The sequence below is a fragment of the Homo sapiens genome, chromosome 1 (genome assembly GCF_000001405.40).
Source record: "Homo sapiens chromosome 1, GRCh38.p14 Primary Assembly".
NCBI classification, from domain to species: domain Eukaryota; kingdom Metazoa; phylum Chordata; class Mammalia; order Primates; family Hominidae; genus Homo; species Homo sapiens.
The window spans coordinates 160,190,314-160,215,603 of NC_000001.11; the positions used below are offsets into that span (position 1 = coordinate 160,190,314).

At 50.7% G+C, this 25,290-nt stretch overlaps 2 protein-coding genes and 1 long non-coding RNA gene across 8 annotated transcripts, besides 4 other annotated features; 2 read left to right on the top strand and 1 right to left on the bottom strand.

Moving 5' to 3' along the window:
- On the top strand, positions 262–11,573 carry CASQ1 (calsequestrin 1). The gene is made up of 11 exons (NM_001231.5): positions 262–717; positions 2,489–2,573; positions 3,434–3,534; positions 4,699–4,810; positions 5,148–5,221; positions 5,584–5,714; positions 7,256–7,301; positions 8,364–8,418; positions 8,640–8,740; positions 9,538–9,612; positions 10,932–11,573. The coding sequence occupies exons 1-11, from the start codon at positions 439–441 to the stop codon at positions 11,061–11,063; spliced, it is 1,191 nt and encodes a 396-aa protein (NP_001222.3). The 5' UTR covers positions 262–438; the 3' UTR covers positions 11,064–11,573.
- PEA15-AS1 (PEA15 antisense RNA 1) lies at positions 11,886–18,556 on the bottom strand. The gene is made up of 5 exons (NR_123725.1): positions 18,531–18,556; positions 17,944–18,074; positions 15,025–16,063; positions 14,758–14,821; positions 11,886–12,203 (listed from the first exon to the last, which is right to left on the bottom strand). It is a non-coding gene; the product is annotated as a PEA15 antisense RNA 1 (long non-coding RNA).
- Positions 14,277–14,376: an enhancer, noted in NCBI's record as "active region_1915". NCBI's record gives its function as "activates an Ori minimal core promoter by ATAC-STARR-seq in GM12878 lymphoblastoid cells {active_cell/tissue: GM12878}" and the evidence as "EXISTENCE:reporter gene assay evidence [ECO:0000049][PMID:35858748]".
- Positions 14,727–14,776: an enhancer, noted in NCBI's record as "active region_1916". NCBI's record gives its function as "activates an Ori minimal core promoter by ATAC-STARR-seq in GM12878 lymphoblastoid cells {active_cell/tissue: GM12878}" and the evidence as "EXISTENCE:reporter gene assay evidence [ECO:0000049][PMID:35858748]".
- Positions 14,927–15,186: a silencer, noted in NCBI's record as "silent region_1459". NCBI's record gives its function as "represses an Ori minimal core promoter by ATAC-STARR-seq in GM12878 lymphoblastoid cells {active_cell/tissue: GM12878}" and the evidence as "EXISTENCE:reporter gene assay evidence [ECO:0000049][PMID:35858748]".
- PEA15 (proliferation and apoptosis adaptor protein 15) lies at positions 15,071–25,059 on the top strand. 6 transcript variants are annotated; one of them, NM_001297576.2, is made up of 6 exons: positions 15,071–15,209; positions 16,820–16,924; positions 18,151–18,352; positions 21,230–21,403; positions 22,797–22,952; positions 23,109–25,059. In NM_001297576.2, the coding sequence occupies exons 3-6, from the start codon at positions 18,292–18,294 to the stop codon at positions 23,171–23,173; spliced, it is 456 nt and encodes a 151-aa protein (NP_001284505.1). In that variant the 5' UTR covers positions 15,071–15,209; positions 16,820–16,924; positions 18,151–18,291; the 3' UTR covers positions 23,174–25,059. The 6 variants fall into 6 exon arrangements, 5 of the variants coding, with proteins under 5 accessions (NP_001284505.1, NP_001284506.1, XP_047289347.1 ...); NM_001297577.2 differs by lacking the exon at positions 18,151–18,352; XM_047433391.1 differs by having other exon boundaries at positions 15,071–18,352.
- Positions 19,776–20,442: an enhancer, noted in NCBI's record as "H3K4me1 hESC enhancer chr1:160179879-160180545 (GRCh37/hg19 assembly coordinates)". NCBI's record gives its function as "activates a minimal SCP1, AML or CMV promoter by ChIP-STARR-seq in naive H9 embryonic stem cells {active_cell/tissue: H9 hESC(naive)}" and the evidence as "EXISTENCE:reporter gene assay evidence [ECO:0000049][PMID:30033119]".

Sequence of the window (25,290 nt, forward strand, 5' to 3'; positions counted from 1 at the left end):
ACCGGGGCTGAGGTGCCCTGGACACTGGAGGAGGGGGAGGGAAGGAGCCCCTGGGAGCCTGGGGTAGAAGTGTAGGAGGTGGGAGGATTCCGGCCCGCATGGAGCTGTCCTGGCCTCAGAAGGTTATCCGTCTCTCCTGCCAACCATGGAGACATATTTAGACAGGACCAGGTGGGGACTGAGGGGTGCCAATTTCAGGGGGCAGCTCCGGTTCCCTCCCCGCCCCCTGCTCCTATTCCTCCACCTGACCCTTTTTCCCTTGGCTCTGTCGGCAGTTTCTCCAGGACCCAGCAGTGCCCTCTGTCCACTGCTCTGGGCCATTCCCCAATCCCCCCTCCCACTTGAGCCCCTAACTCAGAATCTGGGACCCAGGGGCCCCTCCCTACCCCAGCTAACCTCTTCTGGACCAGGAGAGCCAACCCAGATCCCACTACCTCCATGAGTGCTACAGACAGGATGGGGCCCAGAGCTGTGCCGGGTCTGCGGCTGGCACTGCTGTTGCTGCTGGTGCTAGGGACACCCAAGTCAGGGGTACAGGGGCAGGAAGGGCTGGACTTCCCTGAGTACGATGGTGTGGACCGTGTGATCAATGTCAATGCAAAGAACTACAAGAATGTGTTCAAGAAGTATGAGGTGCTGGCACTCCTCTACCATGAACCCCCCGAGGATGACAAGGCCTCACAAAGACAATTTGAGATGGAGGAGCTGATCCTGGAGGTGAGTTGGGGGCACTGCAGGCCTGCAGAGCATGTCTAGCCCCTCTCCGGAATCCCCTATCCTACACCCATGTAGCTCTTTGAGGATGGGATCTGGGGGTGAGGGGCAGTGTGGTAGGAACCCTGTCCTGACCAACAGGATGCAAGTGGCATGTGGCTTTAGTCAAATGAGAAACAGAGTCTCAGGAACCCAAAAGTACTATCAGCGTCAGGAAACCTTTAGCAGGGGTGCTGCAGGAAGAGCTCCCCTCCCTGCTATAGGAGGCTGGTAGTATTTGACTTAGGTTTGGCTAGGACACTGAGGGTGAAAAAGGGAGGTACTTGGAGGGCCAGGGGAGAACAGCAGTGTATATTGCACTCCCCTACCCCACCCATCTGCTTAGCCAGAACACGTCCTCTCCACATACTTCAGGGGCTGCACCCCAAAGAGATCCAAACTGAGTGTAAATGTAAATGTTATGATACTTGCATGCCATGTTTAAATATCTCCTAGAGATCATGCCTCCCATTGGACTCCCAGTCCCCTCTCTCTTCCTTCCCCCTCCCTAATTCCCCATTTGTCTCCATTGGATAAGCTGGATGCCCTCACTGGAAAATTCTTATGGTTGCAGGAGGTGTCAGAATGTCTTCCCCAATCTTCTTTTTGTGGGAAAAGTCTCCTCACCTCCAAAATGACTTCAGGCCCAAAGGAGAAAGAAGTTATCATAAGAAAAGAAAAAAAACCTATGTTTGGGAATGTGTTCATACACACACACCTTTAGGAAATGGGATGTGAGTTTTCTTGTCCAAGCTCCTGTGGCCCCTTCTCTGGCCTCAGCTTGTCCAGAGCTTGGAGCATTTCAGGGTGAGACACCAGAACCACAGGCTCTCATTTTGTGCACCCCTGCTGGGTGCTAGAACCTGCCATCTGATTAATGAGCCGAGTATTTTTATCCTGAGTGCTCAGTATCCCTGGCCATCCACCTGCCAACCGCCTCCCTTCCCCACCCCTCTGAGAATCACAGTACCTGAGTCTGTGCTGAGTGGGGGTAGAGCTGCAAGCTGTGCCCACAGCAGAGAAAATCAGGGTTGAACGCTAAGCTGGAAGGCTTATGGGGGCAGGGACCTCCAGGTGTGACTGTCCACAGCCTAAGGACAGGCTGAAGTAGAGTGCGAAAGGGGAAAGTTGGGCCCTGATGGGGAGAACTGTCCGGTCGCTGTCAGTCTCTCTCCCTCTGGGGGGTAACAAATGGTGACCTCTTATCTCAGCTCTCTGGCCTTCCCCAACTCCTCAACAACATGACCAGACCCACCACTACCCTCCCACCCTCCAAAATTCTTCCCATTGGGAGTCACTCTGAAGAATCTCAGGGACTTCCAAGATCAACCCCACACTGAGCTTGGCCCTTGACCAGGGACAGGGACCTCCAGGTGTGACTTGAGCAGGATGGAATGCAGGACTCAACCCTGAAGGAGGGAAGGGGCCCTCAGTCACTCTGAAGCCAGACTCCTCAGTACCTCTTAGGCACTGGGAAGTATTGAGTGCAGTGTCTTCAAGTCCAACATAATAAGCACATTGCAAATGAGCAATCAATATTCATGAACTAAGTTGAGCCAAAAACAGAACTGTGTGGCTGTAGGGAATTTGGGGGATATTCTGGATCTTAGCAAAGGGTCAAGGTCAACTCTTATATCTCCCGCACCTCAACTGACCCAACTTGAAAGCATGAGAGGGAGAATAGGGGATAATAAAAATTCCAGGGGCTAATTTTAATCATAATCCTTCCCTCCAGTTAGCAGCCCAAGTCCTAGAAGACAAGGGTGTTGGCTTCGGGCTGGTAGACTCTGAGAAGGATGCAGCTGTGGCCAAGAAACTAGGTAAGAGAGGGGAGGGCAGGGGAGGGGAAGGTGGCATTGAGACAAGGGGAGGCTTAGGGCGGAGGACCTGTCAGGCAGTCCTTGGGATCCGAGGGGCTTGGGAATCTCTCAGATTTATGTCTATTCTAAAAGAGGGGGTGAGAAAATATGAGGTTGGGAGGGTTATGGCTCGGAGACTCTGCCTCTCTATTCCTTATGAAGTTCCATGCTCAAATCCCAGAAAGAGGTGGGGGAGGCCTTCTTTATACTTACCTTAAAACATGGCTAGGTGCTGGAGGGAAGGGGAGTCGGGGAATACAGGCGGGGCTGGCCAGACCTCTGCAAACTCCGCTTCCAACCCCTCCCATCCAGAGCCATGGTTGTTAGAGCAGTCAGCCACTAGGGGGCAGCACAGGCTTGAGACGGGATTCTGGACATGCATGGGGGAGGGGTGGTCAGTAATAATGAAGTCATCTGGTCAGTAATAGCAATTAAAGAGCTTGACTGGGAACCAGCTACTAGAGTGCTCAGAGGGGGTGGCATGAATACTCATCTCTAGTCGTTGCGGTCAGAGAAGGGGAGAAATACTGCTAGAATCTACACCTCTCTATTCCCTCCCCTCACCCTACCTGATCCCCCAGCTACTCCCTAGAAAGCTCTGGGGCCACGCTAGCCCCCTAGGCTTAATCCAGGGGCAGAGACCTCAGGCCTGTCGGCCTCTGGGTCAGAGGAGGTGGGTGGGGCAACGGGCCCATGAGGTGGAGCATGTGGGGCCCCGGTGATTATCAAACGGGCTGTGGCCGAGGATTTGGACCTTGAATCTGTGGGAAGCCTGGGATCATGGCTCACTACCCCACCCCTGCGCCCGGCTCACTCCCTAGGCCTAACTGAAGTGGACAGCATGTATGTATTCAAGGGAGATGAAGTCATTGAGTACGATGGCGAGTTTTCTGCTGACACCATCGTGGAGTTTCTGCTTGATGTAAGGACTCCCCTGGACCTGACGGCCTTGCTTGAAAACTCCACTGCCTGCCCCCTAGTCCCTACCAACCCCAACCTGACACTGCACACACACACCACACACACACACATACACCACACGCACACACACCATACATACACCACACGCACACACACCATACATACACACACACACCACCTGCATACACACCACACATATGCATGCACATGCACACAATAGTTCACAAATCACCTACACACCACACACTACACATAGGCACCACATGCACACCACACACACTACACACACCACACACACATCATATACATACCACACACCCATCACACACATATCACATGCACACACACACCACATGCACACCACACACTCCACACACATCACACACCACATGCACATACACAACAAACACACACCACACATGCACACACACCACATCCATGCCACGCAAATGCACACACCACACACGCCACACATGTACACACACACTACACACATGCACACACATCACACATATGCCACACATGCACACAATAGGCCACACATCACCTAGATACCACACACTATGCATATGCACCACATGCACACCACACACACAACACACACCACACACACCCATCCATACACACCACACACAACATATACATGCCACACACCCACCAGATATATCACATGCACACACACCGTACATGCGCACACACACACCACATGCACATACATACCTGCACACCACACATGCACACACTACACACATGCACACACCACATGCACACTCCACACGTACACACACCACACATTCACACACATCACACACATGCCACACATGTACACAGTAGGCCACACATCACCTACATACCGAACACTACACATATGCACCACATGCACACCACACTCATACCATCCACACACATCACACACACATCATATACATACCACACACCCACCATACATATATATCACATGCACACACACACCACACATGCACACCACACACTGCACACATCACACACTATACACACACACGCACATGCAATCCCCCACACACACACCCACACACTGTCAACATCTAGCCCCCTCCTCCAGTTCCCCAGCCTTCTTTTCCCTAGGTCCCTTTCTGGTTCTACTTGAGGATAGAAACTCTCTTCCTGCAATGTCCTCCTCTTTCAGGTCCTAGAGGACCCTGTGGAATTGATTGAAGGTGAACGAGAGCTGCAGGCGTTTGAGAATATTGAGGATGAGATCAAACTCATTGGCTACTTCAAGAGCAAAGACTCAGAGCGTGGGTAACCCTCAGACTCCACTGTGCCCCTCTCTGGATCCCCATCTCACCTGTCCTCCCACCTCCCCACATCACCCAGTGTCTCAGCCTCTACCTCTGCACTTCCCACCTCTTCCTCCAGCCGTGGTCAGCACCATCAACAGCTCTGACCTCCCTGTACTCTGGGGGTTCCCAGACAAGCACCTCCAGTATTCCACCTTCCCCTCACTCTCGAAGAACTAGAAGGGGTGGGTCTCAAAATGAACCCTGCCTGCAAAGAATTGGGGACGATAGTGGGGGATGATTCCCGGGCAGACCCTGGTTTCCCCAGAGACTGACTCTGCATTCCACCCCCCAGATTACAAAGCCTTCGAGGATGCAGCTGAGGAGTTTCATCCCTACATCCCCTTCTTCGCCACCTTCGACAGCAAGGTTCTCCTCCCCGCAGCTGTATTGGTTCTGCCTCATGTCCTGAAGCTGTCCTCCAGTTTCCTCTCCCAGAATCGATGGCTGACCTGGTCCCTTCCTACGTGCTGGCACTCCCTACCTGCCCCCCCCCCCGGCTCCTCCCACTCCATAGATTTAGAGCTGAAGAGGGGCTTTAGATGATCTAACACCCCTCTCATGTTAAACCCAACCCCAGGCAAGTTAAGACACTTGTCAGGTGTCACAGTGGCAGTGACAAGGATCCCGGCTTTCTGACTCCCTTCCTAATATTTGTTCCCCCATTATACTGCTTCTCGACATGACCCTGTGTCTCCTGCTCCACTCCCCTCCTACCCCCTCTCCCAAAGGTGGCAAAGAAGCTGACCCTGAAGCTGAATGAGATTGATTTCTACGAGGCCTTCATGGAAGAGCCTGTGACCATCCCAGACAAGCCCAATAGCGAAGAGGAGATTGTCAACTTCGTGGAGGAGCACAGGAGGTGGGGACCAAGGGCAACCCTCTCAGCGGGGTCGGCTCCTCCTTGGGCTAGAACACACTGTGTGAGATGGGCTGGGGAAAGCTTAGCCAACCGGGAAGCCAATCTTGCCTGGAGATGAATACACTTTGGGCACCAGTGCTCTCTGATACACTGACAATTTTGCACAATATTTTATACCCCACTACTTAGCCCTGAGCCCTACACCGAGAGGGTCCTTCATAAGTGTGTATAATTCAGTGTGAGGTTGATTGAGACTTAAATAATCTCTGTCAACAAATGAGTGTTGACTGCCTGTGGTGGGGCAGGAACTGCAAGGTACTTTCCATCTCTATGATTATATTAAGTCCTTTTAACCTCAGTGAAAGTTTCTACAGGTAATAAGTGTCAGAGCTTTTAACCCTGATTTTAACCCTGATGTGTCCCATGTTTGTTCTTTTTTTCTTCTTCTTCTTTTTTTTTTTTTCTTCCGAGACCGAGTCTTACTCTATCCCCTAGGCTGGAGCACAGTGGCGCCATCTTGGCTCACTGCAGCCTCCGCCTCCCAGGTTCAAGCGATTCTCCTTCCTCAGCCTCCCAGGTAGCTGGAATTACAGGCACGCCACCACACCTGGCTAATTTTTGTATTTTTAGTAGAGATGGGGTTTCACCACGTTGGCCTGGCTGGTCTCAAACTCCTGACCTCAAGTGATGCGCCTGCCTCGGTCTCCCAAAGTGCTGGGATTACAGGCATGAGCCACTGCGCCTGGCCCCATGTTCTTTCTAATACAATATCGTACACCAATGGTTCTCTACAAGGTGGGAAGGCGTGGCGAGGTGGGCATAGGTTTTTGCCCTCCAAAGGATGTTTGGCAATGTCTAGACACATTTTTGGTTGTGCAGAGTGCTACTAGTATTTAGTGGCTAGAGCCCAGGGATACTGCTAAACATTCTACAGTGCGCAGGACAGCCCCCTACTACAAAGAATTATCTGGCTCCAAATGGCAATAGTGCTGAGGTTGAATAATCCTGCCGGGCACTCACACATAATTCCCTTCCTTCATAGTAGTCCACAGCTGGAAATATCCAATCACTCTGTCCCCCAGGCTAGCGTGCAGTGGTGGATCACTGCAAGCTCCCTTGCAGTATATACAGTACTTACTCTCCCATACTACTGGCTCCCTTCATCAAGGCAGGAACATGCTTGCCTGGTTCAACTGTATGTACCCAGCACCTAGCATAGTGCTTAGAACATATCGGGCACTCAATCATAGTGAGTGAGTGAATGAATGAATAAATTAATGAATATCCTGATGTCCAGTTCTTGCCTTTCTCCCCCAGTCTCTCTTCCAGTCCCTTTGCCCACCCTCCCCTCTCCCACCGCTTTAACCATGCAATGAGCCGGGCCTGGTGCCCAGAGTTGAGGCCTTGCCAGATGGCTTTGTTGTAGGCTACAAGCTGTCTGTGCCCTGGGCCTGACCTAGAGGCAGCCTTTGCTACAGGACCCTCTGGAGGGGGCATCCTTCTAACCCACTGAGTAATGACACTCTGTCTGTCTCTTCTAGATCAACCCTGAGGAAACTGAAGCCGGAGAGTATGTATGAGACCTGGGTGAGTGCCCCTGGCCAGGGTCAAGCCCTCAGGGAAGCATGGGTGCCAGAAGACTCAAGTCCTAGAAAAACCCCACCCTACTGCTCCTCAGGCCCATTTTTAGAAAAAACAGTGCACTGACCAGCTGGGTGTGGTGGCTCATGCCTGTAATCCCAGCACTTTGGGAGGCCAAGGTGGGTGGATCACGAGGTCAGGAGATCGAGACCATCCTGGCTAACACAGTGAAACCCCATCTCTACTGAAAATACAAAAAAAATAGCAGGGTGTGGTGGCGGGCGCCTGTAGTCCCAGCTACTTGGGAGGCTGAGGCAGGAGAATGGCTTGAACCCAGGAGGCGGAGCTTGCAGTGATCCGCCACTGCACACCAGCCTGGGGGACAGAGTGAGACTCCGTCTCAAAAAAAAAGAAAAAAGAAAAAACAGTGCACTAGCAGCAACTGAAAGATTTCTACACTGAAGAATGTGTGAGGAAATGGGAGACAGACATAATTGAAGATGACAAGGGAAGAGCCTCAAGCCTGGGGATAAAGGGATTATCAGAGGAAGTGTGGGGCCTTGGAGCTGAAAGGAGTGTCACTTGGAAAAAGGTCACCATCACAAGAATATATATGGCCAGGCGCAGTGGCTCACGCCTGTAATCCCAGCACTTTGGGAGGCTGAGGCAGGCAGATCATCTGAGGTCAGGAGTTTGAGACCAGCCCGATCAACAAGGTGAAACAATGTTGTACTAAAAATACAAAATTAGCCAGGTGTGGTGGCGCATGGCTGTAATCCCAGCTACTCAGGAGGCTGAGGCAGGAGAATCGCTTGAACCCGGGAGGCGGAGGTTGCAGTGAGCCGAGATCGCGCCATTGCACTCTACCCTGGGGGACAGAGTGAAACTCTGTCTCAAAAACAAAAAAAAACAAACCCCAAAAAACGAAAGAATATATCTGGTCCTGAAGCTGGATTTCCACAAAATTGAGGTTCAATGAACATCTAGGATCTGTTCTGGGCTCCTCAACTTCAGGGAGTATAGTAAGGTCTTCTCCAAAACCCTGTTCTCCTTCTTACCCCCTGACAGGAGGATGATATGGATGGAATCCACATTGTGGCCTTCGCAGAGGAAGCTGATCCTGGTGAGGGAGGAATACCGGGTTGGACTGGAGGGAAGGCAGGGGGAGGTGGGTGTGTTTATTGGAGCATGGGCCTCACTAGGAGGCTTTCCTGGGAGTTTGCAAACAGCCTAGGGCTAGACATGTGAAGCTTGGGGAGCAGGGAGGTAGCTCTGCACTCCTGTTTCACCTGGGTCCCTTTCCTCTCTACACACCTCATACCTTGTACTTGTGTTCCCTCCAAGATGGTTTCGAGTTCTTAGAGACTCTCAAGGCTGTGGCCCAAGATAACACTGAAAACCCAGATCTTAGCATCATCTGGATTGACCCTGATGACTTCCCCCTGGTAAGAGGCACAGCTCAGGCACTGCTATCTTAAGGTGGGGCCTTGGACTGTGACATCTTCTTAGTGAGGGCTTTGTTTCAGAGGTCCCATCCCCACCTCCTAGCTGGGGGGCCCTGGGAGGGTATGCGTGTTGCATGCTTAAGGGCACTGTTGGCATGGAGGGCATCCTGAGCAAGGGGAAACAGGACGGACATCACACACATTCCCAGAGCAGAGGCTGGATGGGTAGCTCAGGTGCTAGGGCTGACTCCTAAAGAAAACCAATGTTGTGAGGCACAATAGTCCTGCACATGGGTATACACACTCAATCATAGAATCATAGCACAGAGATTCCCTGTTTCAGGAGATGATTTTGTTCTCAGCTACATTCCCAACACCTAGCACTCGCTGTTGAATGAGTAACTGAAAGAACAAAGAGAAACGTGAGAAACATTGGCACTTACCAGGTATACTTGCCTTATTTTAGAAATGTAAGATCTGAGGGCCAGAGAGAAGTGACTTGACCTTGAACACAAGGATCTGATCCAGGATCAGAACAGGGTTTCCTATCCAGTTTTCCTCAGAAAAGAGGGGCCAGTGCACCCAGCTGACCCTCCCGATTCTCTCCCTTTAGGATTTCTCCTCTTTTGTTGTTTAGTTCTACCCTTGCCTTGATGCCCTCACAGGTGGACCTGTCCCCATCCACTGCCAGTTCGCACTGTCCCCTCTCCATCCCTGGGCTGACCCTCACACTCATCCTCCTGGATTCATGTGCTCCCTAGTATCTATTAAGTTGCTGTATTTTGATCTCTCTACAGCTGGTCCCATACTGGGAGAAGACGTTTGACATCGACTTGTCAGCCCCACAAATAGGAGTCGTCAATGTTACTGATGTGAGTTTCCTGTCCTCATCCCGGGTTGACCCCCGACTCTACTTCCTAGCATAGCTAGCTCTCCTCCTCTCTGCTAACTAGGAGTTGGGCCCTTCTCACAGGACGCAGACATGCCCAGTCTAGTGGCTGGATGGAGGGGGAGACTTAGGATCTGAATGTGGCCCTGTCCCACATGTTGGAATCAGTGGCTCATCCTTCAAGGCCCAGTTCAAATTCTTTCTCCTCTGTGAAGTCTTTCCAGATCTCCCATTTAAAATCATTCCCTCCCTGGCACTCCCAGGGCTCAATAGCCATTGAGAACATGACATTTAAATGGCTATTTATGTATTATGTGTGTCTCTTCCAGTAGATTTTTGAGCTTGTTCAGGGCAGAAGTCTTCTTATGCACACACAGTAGGTGCTTCAAAACTGCTAAGTTGAACTGAATGAGCCACAGTCTCTGCTTTCATAGAATTCTCAGACTAATTAGAGAGGCAAGTGTTCCATTAACTACAAGGCCAGATCTGATAAACTTTATAATAACGATACAAATAAGACACAGGATCACATTGATTTCTGCTTGACAGAATCAGAGAAAAGTTTAAGAAAAAGTGATATTCAAAATGGAGATTCTACAATGTATACGATTTCAACAAGTGATGATTCAGGGAAGTCATTTCCAAACTGAGGAAAAAGCAAGATCAAAAGTTAAAAACAGGAAAATGAATATCAGGTTCCCGGAAAAGGCAGGTGGATTTTTATGGTTGAGAGTCTAGAGATCACTGAGAATGGTACTAGAAAAGCAGGTTATGAAAAGCCCTGGGGCCAGGGTAGTGGCTCAGGCCTGTAATCCCAGCATTTTGGGAGGCCAAGGTGGGAGAATCACTTGAGGCCAGGTGTTCAAGGCTGCAGTGAGCCATGACTGCCCCTCTGCGCTTCAGCCCGGGCAATAGAGTGAGACCATGTCTCTTTTAGAAAAGAAAGAAAGAAAGAAATGTCCTGAATGCCGAAGAGTTGCTAACTTTATTCTTATAAGCCATGAAGAGCTACCAGTGGTTTTGCACCAAAGGCATAATAGGGAAGTTCAGTGTGGCAAGAGCACGGGAGACAGATTGAAGGGAGAAGGTCTATTTGCCAATCCAACTTTTCTTCCCACTCTCACCTGTCACTATTCTAACCCATAACCCATACCTTCACCTGGACAGTTTCCCTGGCCTTTGGCAGATGAAAGGAAGGGACTGAGAATGTAGGGAAGGATGTACAGAGTCCAGTGAGTGGGAAGACAGATCCTAAGACCCGGGTTGGACTTAGCTTCCGTCCCTGCCTGTGCCATCTCCTAGGCGGATAGCGTATGGATGGAAATGGACGATGAGGAGGACCTGCCTTCTGCTGAGGAGCTGGAGGACTGGCTGGAGGATGTCCTGGAGGGCGAGATCAACACAGAGGACGATGACGATGATGATGATGACTAGTTGCTATGGCAACCATCTTTCAGCCCCACTGGTCTTTTCATGCTCTCTCCTGCCTTCCCTTGTCCTTCCCTGAGTTCCTCCAGGGAGACTAGGTTATTCTCTGCCATAGAGCTAACTGGGGTCTATATGCTGGGTGCTGAGACACTGATCCCCCTCATTTGATGAGCAAATGAGCTACTTTTCCCTAGACACCAGGCCAGCTCTCTCTTATCTGACTTCTGTTTCTTATCCCATAACTTACTTGTATCTATTATGTGTCTCTTCCATCACTCTCCATACTCTTTCTTGTGATTCTCCTCTAGCCATATATATGGGCCCCATCTCTGTTCTGTTCCCTCCATCTATGCACAGCTTTCCCCCACTCTCTCTAATCCTGTATCTTTCTGACTGTCCTGTCCTTGGCCAGAAGGAAGGGAGAATACTGTGTTTGGGACTGTATCTCAGCAATCACTTGTTAATGTATTTGGGTCAAATGAGAGGCCTCAATAAAGACATCTGGGGCAGCATGAACAAGTGTATTTTGGTGAAGTCTCACCCCTATGGCAGGAGGAGGTGGCCACTGATGGGGAATTCAGATGTGGGTGCCTTGCTAGGGATGAGCTGGGGGACTCTTATAGTGGGGACTGGGGTTCCTCCAGGCAGCTTTCCCAGAGAAGCCTGGATTGTTAATCTGCTTCAAGTCAACAAGCCTTTTCTGAACACATGGTGTTTGTCCAGGGCCACTGTTAGGCTCTGGGAGAACAGAGAGTGCTAGGCCTGTCCCTGATCTTGAGCTGATTAGCCTCACGGAGAAGTCAAGACAAGCATACTAAACAATCGAAGAAGAATACAAAGCAATATGTAATTAAGTGATTATGTGCTGCTCGATAGCACCCTCTCTGCAGCTCTTATTTGAACATCAAGACAGAGCTCCAATTATACTTCCTTGGTGAAGCCTTCCCAGAGGTGGCCCCTCCAGTGATGACCTCTTCTGAGTTCCTGCTGCACTTCCATTCCAGTACTCAGCACAGTCTGTTATTGTTCTTCATTTACGTGTCTGTCTTCCCCACTCAACTGTGAGCCCCTTGAAGGCAGGAACCCAAGCTTTTTCTTTGTGTCCACAGGGTCTGACACTCAAAAGTTGTCCCTAGTAAATGTTTCCTAAAGGAAGAACAAAGGAAAGAACAGAATGAACTCAGAAGAGAGATCAGAGTGGGCTTGATGACTTCACAAAGGAAGTAAGCCTTTACTAGGCCTTAAATTGAAGAATGGGATTTGGTTGGAGACAAAGGAGCTGAGGAGGAGACATTTCAGTCAGTGGAAAACATCAAGTACTGGCAGGATATGTTTGTCATATTGGGGGCACAGAGACCAGAGAGACAAGAAGAAAAATCAAGTTGTGGCCATGAAGTTGGGTAAGCATAATGGGGCTGGGTTGTAGAGCTGTTTGAATTGAATCCTGCCAGCCGAGGAGGCAGGGCAAAATTTAATCTGGTAGCGATAAGCAGGATGGGGAGGGGAGATGATGGAGATGCCAGAGGTAAGGGGCCCAACCCATAATCAGTGACTGTTATAATAATTGGAGTGATGTTGGGAGAACATGGACCCAAGTGGTGGCCATGGGAATGGAGAGGAGATATTGTATACAATGGGGATCTCCCAGACCTGGGCCTGCTGGAGGTCTTGGCAAGAAGGACCCACAGTCTTTCCAGAATAGGCCCAGGCTGGGGTAAGCAAAAAGGAGTTTAGGGAGTTGGGGATGGGAGGGCCAAATAGCTAAATAAGCCCATAAATAATAAACATATACATATATAGTTTTGAGATGATGCCCATGAACAATAAACATTTTATATATATAATATATACAAATAGCTAAACAAGCCCATAAATAATAAACATTATATATATATTTTTGAGATGATGCCCATAAATAATAAACATTATATATATATACATATACATATATATGTGTGTGTATATATATATATTTTTTTCTTTTTTTTTTTTTTTTTTGAGATGGAGTCTCACTCTGTTGCCAGGTTGGAGTGCAGTGGTGAGATCTCGGTTCACTGCAACCTCCGACTCCCGGGTTCAAGAGATTCTCCTATCTCAGCCTCCCAGGTAACTGGGACTACAGGTGCCCACCACCACACTCAGCTAACTTTTTTGTAGTTTTAGTAGAGATGGGGTTTCACCATGTTGGTCAGGCTAGTCTTGAACTCCTGACCTCAGGTGATCCACCTGCCTCAGCCTCCCAAAGTGCTGGGATTACAGGCGTGAGCCACCACGCCAAGCCAACATTATATTTTTCATGGATCAGGTGTAAAGTTGTTGCTGAGAGACTTAGAGGATTTCTAAGTACGGAAAGATGAGACCTGAGATTAGATATATTTTCACTCTCCACAGACAAGTCCAGGAAGTGTTCCTAGAGAATGTGGCAGGGGTGTAGAAAGCAGAAACTATGTATTCATTCCAACTTGTAGCTATTTAATAAATGTTTAATAAGTAGTATGGGCACTAAGCTAGTCTTACAATAATATTGTGGAGCTTACTGTCTAGCATAGGTCAGTGGAAGGCCCCGGTCTAAATAATAGCTCCTATTTTTTAAGCACCCATCTGTGCCAGTCCCTAGAGACTTACTATTTCTGAATCTCAGAAGAACCCTCAGAAATAGACATTGGCACCCTGATCTGACCGGTGAGGACACTAAGGCTTTCAGGCATAACTTGCCCAAGGAATGGGTGGAACTAGCACGCAGCCCAAGGCCCCTGTGTCTTGTTGCCTCCAGACCTGAGCCTTTCACTTAGAAACTACATGAGTCTCAAAGATGGGTCAACGAAATAGTTTTTGTCCCTACAACACAGAGCAAACATGATATATACAAAGGCAAATGATTAGTGTGTGACAGGGAATGCTGGGGAGAGGAAACAGCAGAGAAATGCTATGAAACCCAGAGCAGCAGGAACTTGGGCCTCTTCTAGGAATGGTGTAGACCCAAGAAAGGAGGGGCTCGTTTGAGGTTTCTGGAGGAGTCTCTGCCAGGTAGGAACTGAGATGAGATGGGTGATCCTGGAAGTGGCACAAACACTGAGGGGAATCCCCCAACCTGGGCCTGCTGGAGTTCCTGGCAGGAAGGACCTACCCAGGGTCAGACTTCTTTCCAGGGCCAAACCCTGCCCAGAGCTGAGGCAAGACCCCTTAGGCTATAGAGATGGGGGTGAAAACAGATGCTTCTCCAATTCTTCCTTTCCTCTTTTCAGTCTGGCTGAGAATCTGGGGGAGGAAAGTCCCTGGGGTAGAGGGGAAGTGAGAGCTGCCACATTGGGCCTGGGCAGAGGGGCAGAGCTAGGAGATGGAGCTAAGTGTGGCTTTGCAAGTTGTCTATATTTGCATGCTGAGCTCACTGCTGCTCTTTTTCTCCCCAGAAAATAAAATTACATCATGGTAGGGGGAAGGCAGGAGTGGGGCATGTTTGGGAAAGGTGAGAGGCACGCAAGAGGGCCTGAAGGCATCATCCTGGAAAGAGAAGATCCAGGGCTCCTCAAGTCCCCATGTGGCCCCAACCCCTCACTCCCAATGTGGATAAGTCTGATCAGTCATTTTCCACTGCGCCCCTGACCCTTAAGGCAAGGCAAGAAGTTTTTACAAATATTAAAGCCAGCAGCTAAGAGAATCCAGCCCCCAAAGGCTTTCCAACCCCCTAAACCAAACCTACTCTGTGCCTCCCAGGGGTCCTAGGCACCGTGGTCATCCAAAGGTCAAAAGGGGAGGAGGGTGCCCTACTGGGTAAGAATTAAATATGAGAATTGTTTCGCAGTTCAGGGGGAAGAGACCGTCTCCGCTCCAGCCCTCCGCCCAATTCTGTCCCCCATCCTAGGAGTCTTCCAGAACCCCAGCCCCTCGGTCCCCCGCCCCCTCCTGCCTCTCCATCCCTCCCCCTCCTCCCGCCATTCCCCGCCCCCCGCCCCTCCCCGGCTCTGACATCACCGGCCAGCCGGGTGGAGTGAGCGGCGCTGGGCTCGGGCTCCGGCTCCGCGGGCGGAAGAGGCGGCGGCGGCGGCAGAAGCGGCGGCGGCGGCGGCGGGAGCCGAGGAGGAGGTTCCGGACGCTGCTTAGGAACCGGGGACTCAGGAGTGCCCGCGCCCTGAGCGCTCAGCTCCAGAGGCGGTGAGAGGGGCGGAGAGGAGACATGTCGCGGGGAAGGGGCAGATTTCGGGGTCTAGGCTTGGAGGGGCAACGATCTGGGACACCGGGGGCCAGACGGGGAGTGTGGGGACCCCGGACGAGTCCACTTTGTGTCAGGCCTCACGGGGTCCGTCCCTCGGTCGGTGCGTCCCGAGCGCCGAGCGTGTGCTGGAGGCGGCGTGGCTCCGGCCAGCCCGTTCCACGCTGAACGGCAGTTTGGGAGTCGGACCGGGGCCTGTGGATTAGGATGCAGCCTGCTTCCCGCCCAGCCGGCTCGGCCAGGCCAGCGCCCGCCCCTCCCTCCCCGCTCAGGCTTCGGACTCGCCTCCGCTGGCGGTCTCCCGGCCCAGCCCTGTCTCGGTTCCGCGGGCGGCTGGTACCATGTGCCCTCACCCCCAGCTCACTGCACCTGGGGAAGAGGTGGGCTTGGCGGAAAGCTTGTCCAGAGGGAAGGAGGAGCTGGGGGTGTAGAGAAGTGATGTATATCTAACGTAAAAACCCTTATTAATTTCATATAATCCGTGTCAAAACTGACAGGGAAACACGCACACCTATAAGGCACGCCAGCACACACAGTGACACACACCCATGTGACTTATACACATAGTCTAGCACACTCCAAATCACAAACGTCCCTGGACTACGCATCCGGCCGCCCACCACACCCCCACTCTGTGGGGTGGGGCATCCCATGAGGAGTCTTCTGAACTGCGGGCTCCAAGTCATCAGTCCGACAGGACAGCTGAGTGGACAGAAAGGGCCACTGTCCCCAAATCCATCCTGATTTTCTGGCAGCTTTTCCCAGCCCCATGGTTTCAGATTGTTCCTCTTTAAAACTGTGGGGAAAGATGGGAGAAAATCTTGGTCTCATTCCTCTAACACAAGGAGACAGGATTTTGCGGACTAATGAGGGTAGGGGCTTCTGGTGGCTTCTCTTCCTGGGTCCAGTTAGGGCTTAGCGTGCTGGGAGTGGCTAGTTTCTGGGTAAGAGTGGCCAAGGGATGGAGGAGGAGGGGGTGGAAGAAACGGAGAGGAAAAAGAATGGGTATGAGTCAGCCAAGAATGGAACCCAAGTCAGAGAGAGAATGAGAGGAATGTGTGTGAGAAGCAGACAGACATCTCCAGAGAGGTCTAGAGATAGTCAGGGAACCAGGGAGAGGGAGGAAGTGAGAGAAAGAGATGGTCAGAGAAGTGCAAACAGTGTTTGAGAGTGCACTAAACAAATTAGGGAGGATGAAGGTTGGGGGAGACCACTGGGAGTTAGGGAAAGTGGTACGTGTGTCTGGGCCCCAGGCTGTCAGAGCGATTAGCTTTAATTGCTCTTCCCTTTGTGGTTAAATACTCCATTGGGGAAATTGCCAGTGATGCCCTAGGCTGCAGGCTTCCCTGGTTGCCTACTTCCTCAATTCCGTGCCCATCATGTGTGGATGTATTATCATGCATGAAGAGGGTCACAGAATCACAGAGCGCCTCACTCTCTCACACAGATCCTCACGCACAATGTCATGATGGATATCTTCACCAGCTGGTAGGCAGCCAACCACTGAATCTCCAAGCCACTCCGACCAAACTTACTCTGTCTTTTGTAGCAGGGATGCTCACCCCTTCCTAATTGCAGCTCCGAATATTCAGATGGGGACAGTGAAGCACAGATCTCAGGAGTCCTAAGTATTCATGGCTACCACTAAGTTGGATAGGTGAGTAGGAAATGCTAGAAGGGGTGAAAGCCTATAGAAAGGAGGAAAAGAGAGACTGAAAGATGAAGTAGAAAGGAAATGCATGACAAAGAGTGAGAGAGATGGAGAGAGACAGAAATAGAAGCAGGGAGTGCCACACCAGAAGAGTGGAAACAGAGATGGGCTGGGGAGAGTCCTAGGCCCCATTCCCCTCCTCGCCATCAGCCGGCCCTCCTCTGCTCTGCCTGATCCAGTGCCAGCTATCTCCTGATGCCCCATCTTGGGTCTGGCTCTTTCTAGACCAAGGGCTGAAGGCTAATCCTTGTCCCCATGCCCAAAGGTAATCCATTTTGCTTCTTGGACTGAAGTGAACATTTTAGGGCCCAGATGTCCTGCCTCTCGTCACTTCCAGGCTGACCCTGGAGCCTCAGAACCCTCAATTTCCTTGTTACAGGAGTAAAGACAACCCCCTCCTCCCCCACAAAGCTGGATAAAAAGCTTAAAGAAGAAATTAATTGAGAATGATATTAAAGGAAATAAACTACAGGACTGCTTGAATTTGGGGCCCAGTTATAATTTAAAATAGGAAAGCTGGACCCCTACTCTCTCCCTTCCAACCCCTCTGCCTCTCCGTGATTACTTCCAACTTCAGGCAGAAGACTGACAGACTTGAGTGCCTGGGAGTCCCCTCCTGCCCAATACAGGGACCTCTAGGTCCTTGCAGCTGTCTGGGATGGCCCCTCCCCTCAGGCTTAGGCAGCTGCAACAGATGTGGAAGAGGGACGGGCAGCAACTCTTAATCTTCAGGCTTCCTTCTCGAATTTACAGAGGATTTGGAACCAAACGTTAGAAGGGATAATCTACCACGACTTAATGTCAAAATGCACAGAAATTCTTTTGGTGCTGCCACCTCCTCCACAGGTGGTTATCCCAATTGCCAGGCTTCTCAAAGCACTCCCAGGGCCTGGCTCTTCTTACCCCAGTGCCCATGGAGCTCCCACCTGTCCCACCCTAAAAGGTCAGTATATAATGGTCCTTACCTCCTGCCCCTCTTCCCCAGCATCCTCAGTTGGTTTGACCTTTGTCAGGGCTGTGCCTGGGGCCAGCTTGGAAGGAGAGGGAGGCAGGAAGGAAGGAAGGTGTGAGGAAGCGGTGAGCCTAGCACAGAAAGCTGGGAGGGAAGAGGACTGACTTCCTGGCAGCCGGGGCTCCGGTTCCTGATTCCTGCCCTGGTATCCTGTCCCAAGAATGGCCTCCGCCCAGACTGCCTGGTGATCCCTGAGCAGCTCTCTGCACTGCTCCAGAAATCAGGAGGATTTTTCAGAGCCCAGAGAGCAGATTTCTCCACGAGCCCTAAGGAAATCTGAATCTCTGGTGAGGAAAGTGACATGGAGGATGAAGGAAACAAGCTCTGCCAAGCCCCACCATGGCCAGGCCAGACCAGCCCAGGTACAACTGTTGATCAGTGAGAATTGAGAGCAGTTCCCCTAAACAACACTCCCTTTGCTTCTTCTGCCATACTAAGGCCTAGGCAAATGGATCTCTCCAAGAAGGGAGGCAACTGGGCTGCCTTTCCTTGTACCGTCAGGGGGCCTTATTCCTATCCTTTCTGTCCCTTCTTACTCACCATTCCCTACACTCCTCCCATCTAGTGGTGTCATCCTAACGACTGGGGGTGGGGGGCACCCAGAACTGAGGTTGCTATAGTAACAGATGAGATGAGGCTACAGCCTTCTATAGTTGTGGACTGTATGCTCTCCTCCCCCTCGCCCCCCATGCCTCATTTGCAGCCTTAGTCTCTTTCTGTCTCCCAACTCCAGCTCTCTTTCTCCATTCTGTAGGCTCCCCTCACCCCTCTGGATGTGAGCCTGTGGTTATATGCCTTCTTACACATGCTCTTGGCTGGTTTAGACACATACAAACACACACATGACAGATACTCACAGCCAGTGCACCCACAGCCATATATCCAGTGCTGGCACATACACCTCCATTACCAGAACATCCAAACACACCCACAGATACCCAGCCACTGCCTCCTCCAGAGCTGTGCCCACAACCCGGGGATTAGCATCCATAAGATCCGAGCACACACACATTTCTCCTCTGCCACTTTAACATTCCTACCCCCATCTCTCTTAGGGGCCTCCTTGTATCTTTCACTCTCTTAGAAAGCTCCTACCCACTGCCCCCAAGTCTTTGTGGGTGAGTGTGTTACACACATTAATCTCTTCCCGCCTACCTCCTCTGTAGATCTGTTTTAGATTCAAAGCCCTAAATCTGAACTCCTCCCGACACACACACACACACACACACACAGACACACACACAGATGCACTCTTTCCTCCCGCAGGATCTGTAATATTTACAAACTCTCCTTCCATATGAAAGCAGGGAAGTATAACCCCCAATCCTGCCCCCTTTTCCAGCTGAGGGCTTGGCCCCAGAGTTTCCTCCACTGGGGCAGGGTCTTCTTGTCTCCTGCTGCGCTTTCCCTTCCAGTTGTACTCATGCCCCCCTACTCATTCTTATCTCCATCTCTAGTCCCCTCCCCATCATCCCCCTCACCCGTACCCCCCTCCTTCTGTCCTTGGATTATCAGTGAAGTGAGGGGGGTTGGGCTCCAGAGCTTGCTGCTGTGACCTAGATTTCAAGGCAGAGACAGTTCCTGGTGCTGACAGTCAGAGAGCATTGTTCCTGGCCCGGCCTGGCAGGGCCACTGCTGGGCCCTTCTGTCTGGTTGCACCTGGGTGTGCAACTGAGCATGCCTATGACTGCCTGTTTCTTGCGGGGGTCATGGTAGCCCTCCTGTCTGGCTCATTGTCTGCCTGTGTCATGGTGCCTGCCACCAAGGGAGGCTTGTTTATTCTGGTCCAGGTAGGGGGCTGGGAATGGGGACTTCTGGGTCTGTATCTCTTATTTTGTGACCACCATGCCAATCTCAGTTCCCCTGCAGTAGAGCAAGAAGGAAAATGTGAATGTGTCAACCAAGCCCCTTTGATCTGCCACATTCCCAGCCTAATGCTGGGGTGATTTGCAGGCAGCCTCCGTCAGGGACAAGGTCATCTTGCTGCTTGCCCACCCCTTGGTCTAGTCGCATACAGAGTGTTTATGATACAATTTACTTTTTAAAACATGCTTTACTTTTCTGACTAAAAGGAAATAGATACTCATTGTGGAAATAAGTTCCATTTTTGAGCTTACCACTAGTGTCACATTTTATCAAATCCAGAAAGTCCATTCAAACATCTGACCTTCTTTCTTCTGTCTTAGCCACAGTTCCTATCTTAGTGGAAGGAAGGCCTTGAATGTTCTCTACTTCTCACCTAAGGATCATGAAAGAGGGATAGGGTGAAAGCCTAGGTGAGATCTGGCCTTGCTGATCTCATCAGACCATGCTGAAGGTAGTGCCAGTAGGATGTTGATACGATACGAGAAGGGGGGGCAGTCCCCTTTTGCCATTCTCCCAAAGCCGCATCTAAAGTCCCCTCCCCCCACCACCCAGCCAGCCTGGGAACTGGGCAGGGGGCCAGAGCCAGTTGCTTGGTATTCTTGGGCACGGGGGCTGCAGGCACAGCACAAAGGGTAGGAGAGAGAGCTGAGTGGGGGCCTGGTAACCATCAAAGGAGAAAATGGGCTCCACAAAGGTGGGGGTGGTCCATTGCTTCCCCCACCTCGAACCCTAATGACTGAATACAAGGCTAGCATGGTGGGGCCAAGGAACCATCAGACCAAGCAACTAGGCATCTATCCAAAATGAGTCATTAGTGGGGTGGTGGGGAGTTGAAGTGAGGGACCCCTTTGCCTTTGAGGCAGAATGGGGAAGCTAGAACACATGAGTTCCTACCAGACCCTCCAGCTCTTTCTCAGCTTCTCACTGCCACAGCAAGCCTCGCCCTGGTTGTTTTGGAGTTTTTTTTCCCTGACATGGGGAGGGGTTGGAAGTGGGTGGGGCGATTCTGAGGGGGGACTTGGAGAGAGCGGGTGAGAAAGTCGGGAGCAGGTTGCTATGGTAACCGCCTCCTCAGTCAGGGGAACTGTTGCCAGGGTTACTGTTAGAGGGGGAAAACAGAAGAAAAAGATGGTGGGGGGAAGGAGGTATGACTTGTCACTCTAGGCTCCAGCCTGGCTCCTAGCTTCCCGTCTACCCTGACTGCCTCCCCTAGGTCTTCCTTTTCTCCCTCCAGCCCTAGCCACCTCCAGCCTCCATGTTCCAGGCACATGCCTGGTAGGGCAGAGTGGGGAGTAGGAGGGTAGTGCCAGTGAGTAAACCAGACTCCATACCTTAAGCTCAACTCCTATCCCTTTGTCGCCTCCCAACCCCAGTCATGGCTGAGTACGGGACCCTCCTGCAAGACCTGACCAACAACATCACCCTTGAAGATCTAGAACAGCTCAAGTCGGCCTGCAAGGAAGACATCCCCAGCGAAAAGAGTGAGGAGATCACTACTGGCAGTGCCTGGTTTAGCTTCCTGGAGAGCCACAACAAGCTGGACAAAGGTGGGGGAGGGGAGCACAGGGGTCCTGTCATCAGTCATTCAGGCTCAGTTCATTCAGCAAATAGAGATGAGCTCAAAGCTTTTACATCCACAATGTGTACCCCTCTATAGCAAGGCAGAAGAGAGGTGCTCTAAGAGTATGGGGGCCTTAGACATTTTTCACTGTGCCCCTCATCGGTAAAAAATGTTATTCAGATACTCCTGTGCTATTATCACATATACAACAGAACATAAAAACAATCTAAAAATAGTAAAATTTTAAGTGGCAAAAATTGGGAAGAATTCTAGACAATAAAAATGGAAGAATACCTGAATGAGGGGAGAACTCGAAGTGTAATCTAACTGGTAAATAGTAATACTAATCTTTGTTAAGCATTTTTTAAAAACTGGTAAAATTTAAAACTACAAGTTCTATCATTTTCTTATCCACTTTGAGAGACTACTGCTTGGGGAGTGGGATCTATGGATTAGAGTAATCCCTCACAGCTGGAGGCTTTAGGGAAGAATTGGTGTTTAAGATGGCCCTGAAAGGTGAGTGGGATTTCTAAGGCAAGATCCAAAGGAGGGCATGCCAGGCAGAGGAACACTGTCACAGAGTATCTAGTGTGTTTGGAAATGCAATCAGTCCTGCTTGGCTTGACTAGGATGTAGGGTGTTTAGAAATGGCTGGGAAGGTAAGGTAAGACTGTGTTGTAGAGAGCCTGGGTATTGGATAGGTGAGGTGAGTGAACTCAGGGCCCTTCAGATATACTATTCTGACTGCTGTGTGGCTGGCAGGGAGAACGTATAAAGGAGGACGTGTTACAGTTAGACTGTATGGCAACAGTCAGAGGGGAGGAGCCAGGGAAGAAGGTCTAAGGGCATCTATAATCTCCTGGAATTGGCCAAGCCATGGACATCGTCCTTCTGGTGGTGTCCATACCTTCTCTCATTTAGAATAACCTTTCTCACCAGGCCCAGAATCTCTCCTGGGTTGCCTAGAGATTCCACCCTGCTGGTCCTACATGTGCTGTCAGCAAATTCTGATACTTACTTGGATGGAAAGTGGAAAAGGATGGGGGTGGGGGTGGGGTATCTGGAAGTCAAGTTGATTTTTCTTTTGTCCCCTCCCCACAACATATGGGAGCTAGTATCTAAGCTAAACCCCTCATTCTAACCACAATCTAGAAACTTCACTGACCAACTATCTGCCCTTCCTGCGAACAGTCCTCTGTATTGTTGTTTGGGTACCTTAGCTTTCTTCTCCTGGATTAGTAGCCCCTCTTCCTCCAGTGTTGTACCCTCCCATAACCAATGTCAGCAACTCAGCTTTGGTTCCAGGTCACTAGTCTGGTGGAGTAGGGGAAGCTGACCTCTACAGCCTAGCTCTGACCCTATCTCCTGCCTTCCTCCAGACAACCTCTCCTACATTGAGCACATCTTTGAGATCTCCCGCCGTCCTGACCTACTCACTATGGTGGTTGACTACAGAACCCGTGTGCTGAAGATCTCTGAGGAGGATGAGCTGGACACCAAGCTAACCCGTATCCCCAGTGCCAAGAAGTACAAAGGTAAGCGGCCACTCCTTTAACTAGCTGCACCTCTGCCTCGTCCCGTTGACTATCCTTGGAGTACTTGAGTTTTGGGAGAGTGGAGGCAGATGCCCAATGGGCCTGCCTGGCATCTCCCACACTGCTGTCCCTGGACACATACCTTTTTGCCCCCAGACATTATCCGGCAGCCCTCTGAGGAAGAGATCATCAAATTGGCTCCCCCACCGAAGAAGGCCTGAGCAAGGGGGAGGAAGAGGAGGAAGGTTGGACCTTCATCAGACCACTCCCTTCCCCCATCCTCCAGGAGAGGGGGCAAGGGCAACCCACCATCTACCCACTTACTAACCTGGTCCTAACCCCCTTACTGTGCGCGTGTGTGTGCGTGTGCGCACGCTCTGGCTGTTTGTCTATATGTCTAGCTCATCTAGTTCCTCTTCTTAAGGGGATGGGGGTCAGGGGCTAGGGGAGGGGGCTGAGTTTCCCCACTTTAGGAGGAGGTGGGGGCTATTTCTATGCAAATAGAAATCAGCACATTCCTCCTACTTCCCTTTCCTCCACTCCCCCCATATCTTTAAAGTGTGGAAGCAGAAAGGACCTGCATTTTCCTACATTGAGGAGCTGACATAGGGGTAAGGTATGGGAGAGGTAGGTGGATCCAGGGAAAAGCAGTGGGGACGGAAGGCAAAGAGACCACTCAACCCCCACCTGGAAGGGGCAAAGAAAAGCCAGAGTTCCATGTTTGTACTCCTGTGCTGGACTGTTTCCTGAGTACCAGCAGGTCCCTTTTTGTCTCTCATGGGCCTAGCATAGGTATGAGCCAGGGATCCTTTCCTGGTCCCTAAGATCAAACCCCATGGAGCAGCCAGCGTTAGATGCCCCCACCCACCTGTACTCTGGAGAGACTGTGCTGGGAACATGTACCACTGAGCCTGAGATGGGGATGAGGGCAGAGAGAGGGGAGCCCCCTCTTCCACTCAGTTGTTCCTACTCAGACTGTTGCACTCTAAACCTAGGGAGGTTGAAGAATGAGACCCTTAGGTTTTAACACGAATCCTGACACCACCATCTATAGGGTCCCAACTTGGTTATTGTAGGCAACCTTCCCTCTCTCCTTGGTGAAGAACATCCCAAGCCAGAAAGAAGTTAACTACAGTGTTTTCCTTTGCACCGATCCCCACCCCAATTCAATCCCGGAAGGGACTTACTTAGGAAACCCTTCTTTACTAGATATCCTGGCCCCCTGGGCTTGTGAACACCTCCTAGCCACATCACTACAGTACAGTGAGTGACCCCAGCCTCCTGCCTACCCCAAGATGCCCCTCCCCACCCTGACCGTGCTAACTGTGTGTACATATATATTCTACATATATGTATATTAAAACTGCACTGCCATGTCTGCCCTTTTTTGTGGTGTCTAGCATTAACTTATTGTCTAGGCCAGAGCGGGGGTGGGAGGGGAATGCCACAGTGAAGGGAGTGGCAGAATCAAATTGCTACATAGTCCAAACAAAAAAGAAGGCTTTTTCAAAAAACATTAAATTCACATGCAGTCTCAGAGACTATTTAGACAAAGTTCAAGTTAGGAGCTTTTAGGATGTGGGAGTAAAACTTTAATGGGAGGGGAGGGCTGGCTGCTGGAAGAAGGAAGAAGCCAGACTGGTTAGACAGTACTCTTAACTCCTAGCCCAGCCTAGCGTGCCCTGCCCCTCTGGCCACTGCTGCAGACACCTGCCTTAACACACACACCTCTAGGACTCCACAGTTTTGCCTTAAAGGACCTTCCCAAGTCTCCCTTTCCCTGTCTGGCTTCTCCCTTAAGAAGAGAGAGATACTTGTAGAATTGGGTGGGGGGAATGAGCATGAACTGTCCTTCCATTTGGGATATGTTACATTAGAGTGAGAGAGAGAATAAGGAGCCTTTCTTATGGAAGAAATGGGAGAAGAGAGACAGGGTTCTTTTCAGCAGAGTCTAGTAGTTTCTCTGTAAGGCAAAATAATCTAAAAAGACTAACCTGCCCACCCACTCCTTATATTGCTGTGAGATTGCCCCTATCTTGTGCTCTTCTGTCTGCAGTGTGCACGGCCTTGTTCTAACCCGGAATAAAGGTGATTGATTGTATTGCAACTAACTGATTTTAAAATTTCTGTGAGTGACCAGGATTTTGCAGGCTTTGAATCACTGGGAAGGGAGGGGGAACAATATTTATGGCCCAGAATAAGGGCTGGGAAAATACCCCAAGTGTATACCCTCACCCCACCCAATCTCCTAAGTATCACTGAGCTAAATGGAGTGTATCCTACTTCCAACAGTCTCCAATTGGAGCCCAAGCACTGGAAATACGGGTCTCCCAAAATG

Bases quoted from the DNA above. Each gene is read 5' to 3' on its own strand.
- CASQ1 (NM_001231.5), top strand. From the start codon at position 439: ATGAGTGCTACAGACAGGATGGGGCCCAGAGCTGTGCCGGGTCTGCGG. The intron at 718-2,488 runs GTGAGTTGGGGG...CCTTCCCTCCAG, and splicing joins TGGAGGAGCTGATCCTGGAG to TTAGCAGCCCAAGTCCTAGA. The intron at 2,574-3,433 runs GTAAGAGAGGGG...CTCACTCCCTAG, and splicing joins AGCTGTGGCCAAGAAACTAG to GCCTAACTGAAGTGGACAGC.
- PEA15 (XM_047433391.1), top strand. From the start codon at position 18,292: ATGGAGGATGAAGGAAACAAGCTCTGCCAAGCCCCACCATGGCCAGGC. The intron at 18,353-21,229 runs GTACAACTGTTG...TCCCAACCCCAG, and splicing joins GCCAGGCCAGACCAGCCCAG to TCATGGCTGAGTACGGGACC. The intron at 21,404-22,796 runs GTGGGGGAGGGG...GCCTTCCTCCAG, and splicing joins CCACAACAAGCTGGACAAAG to ACAACCTCTCCTACATTGAG.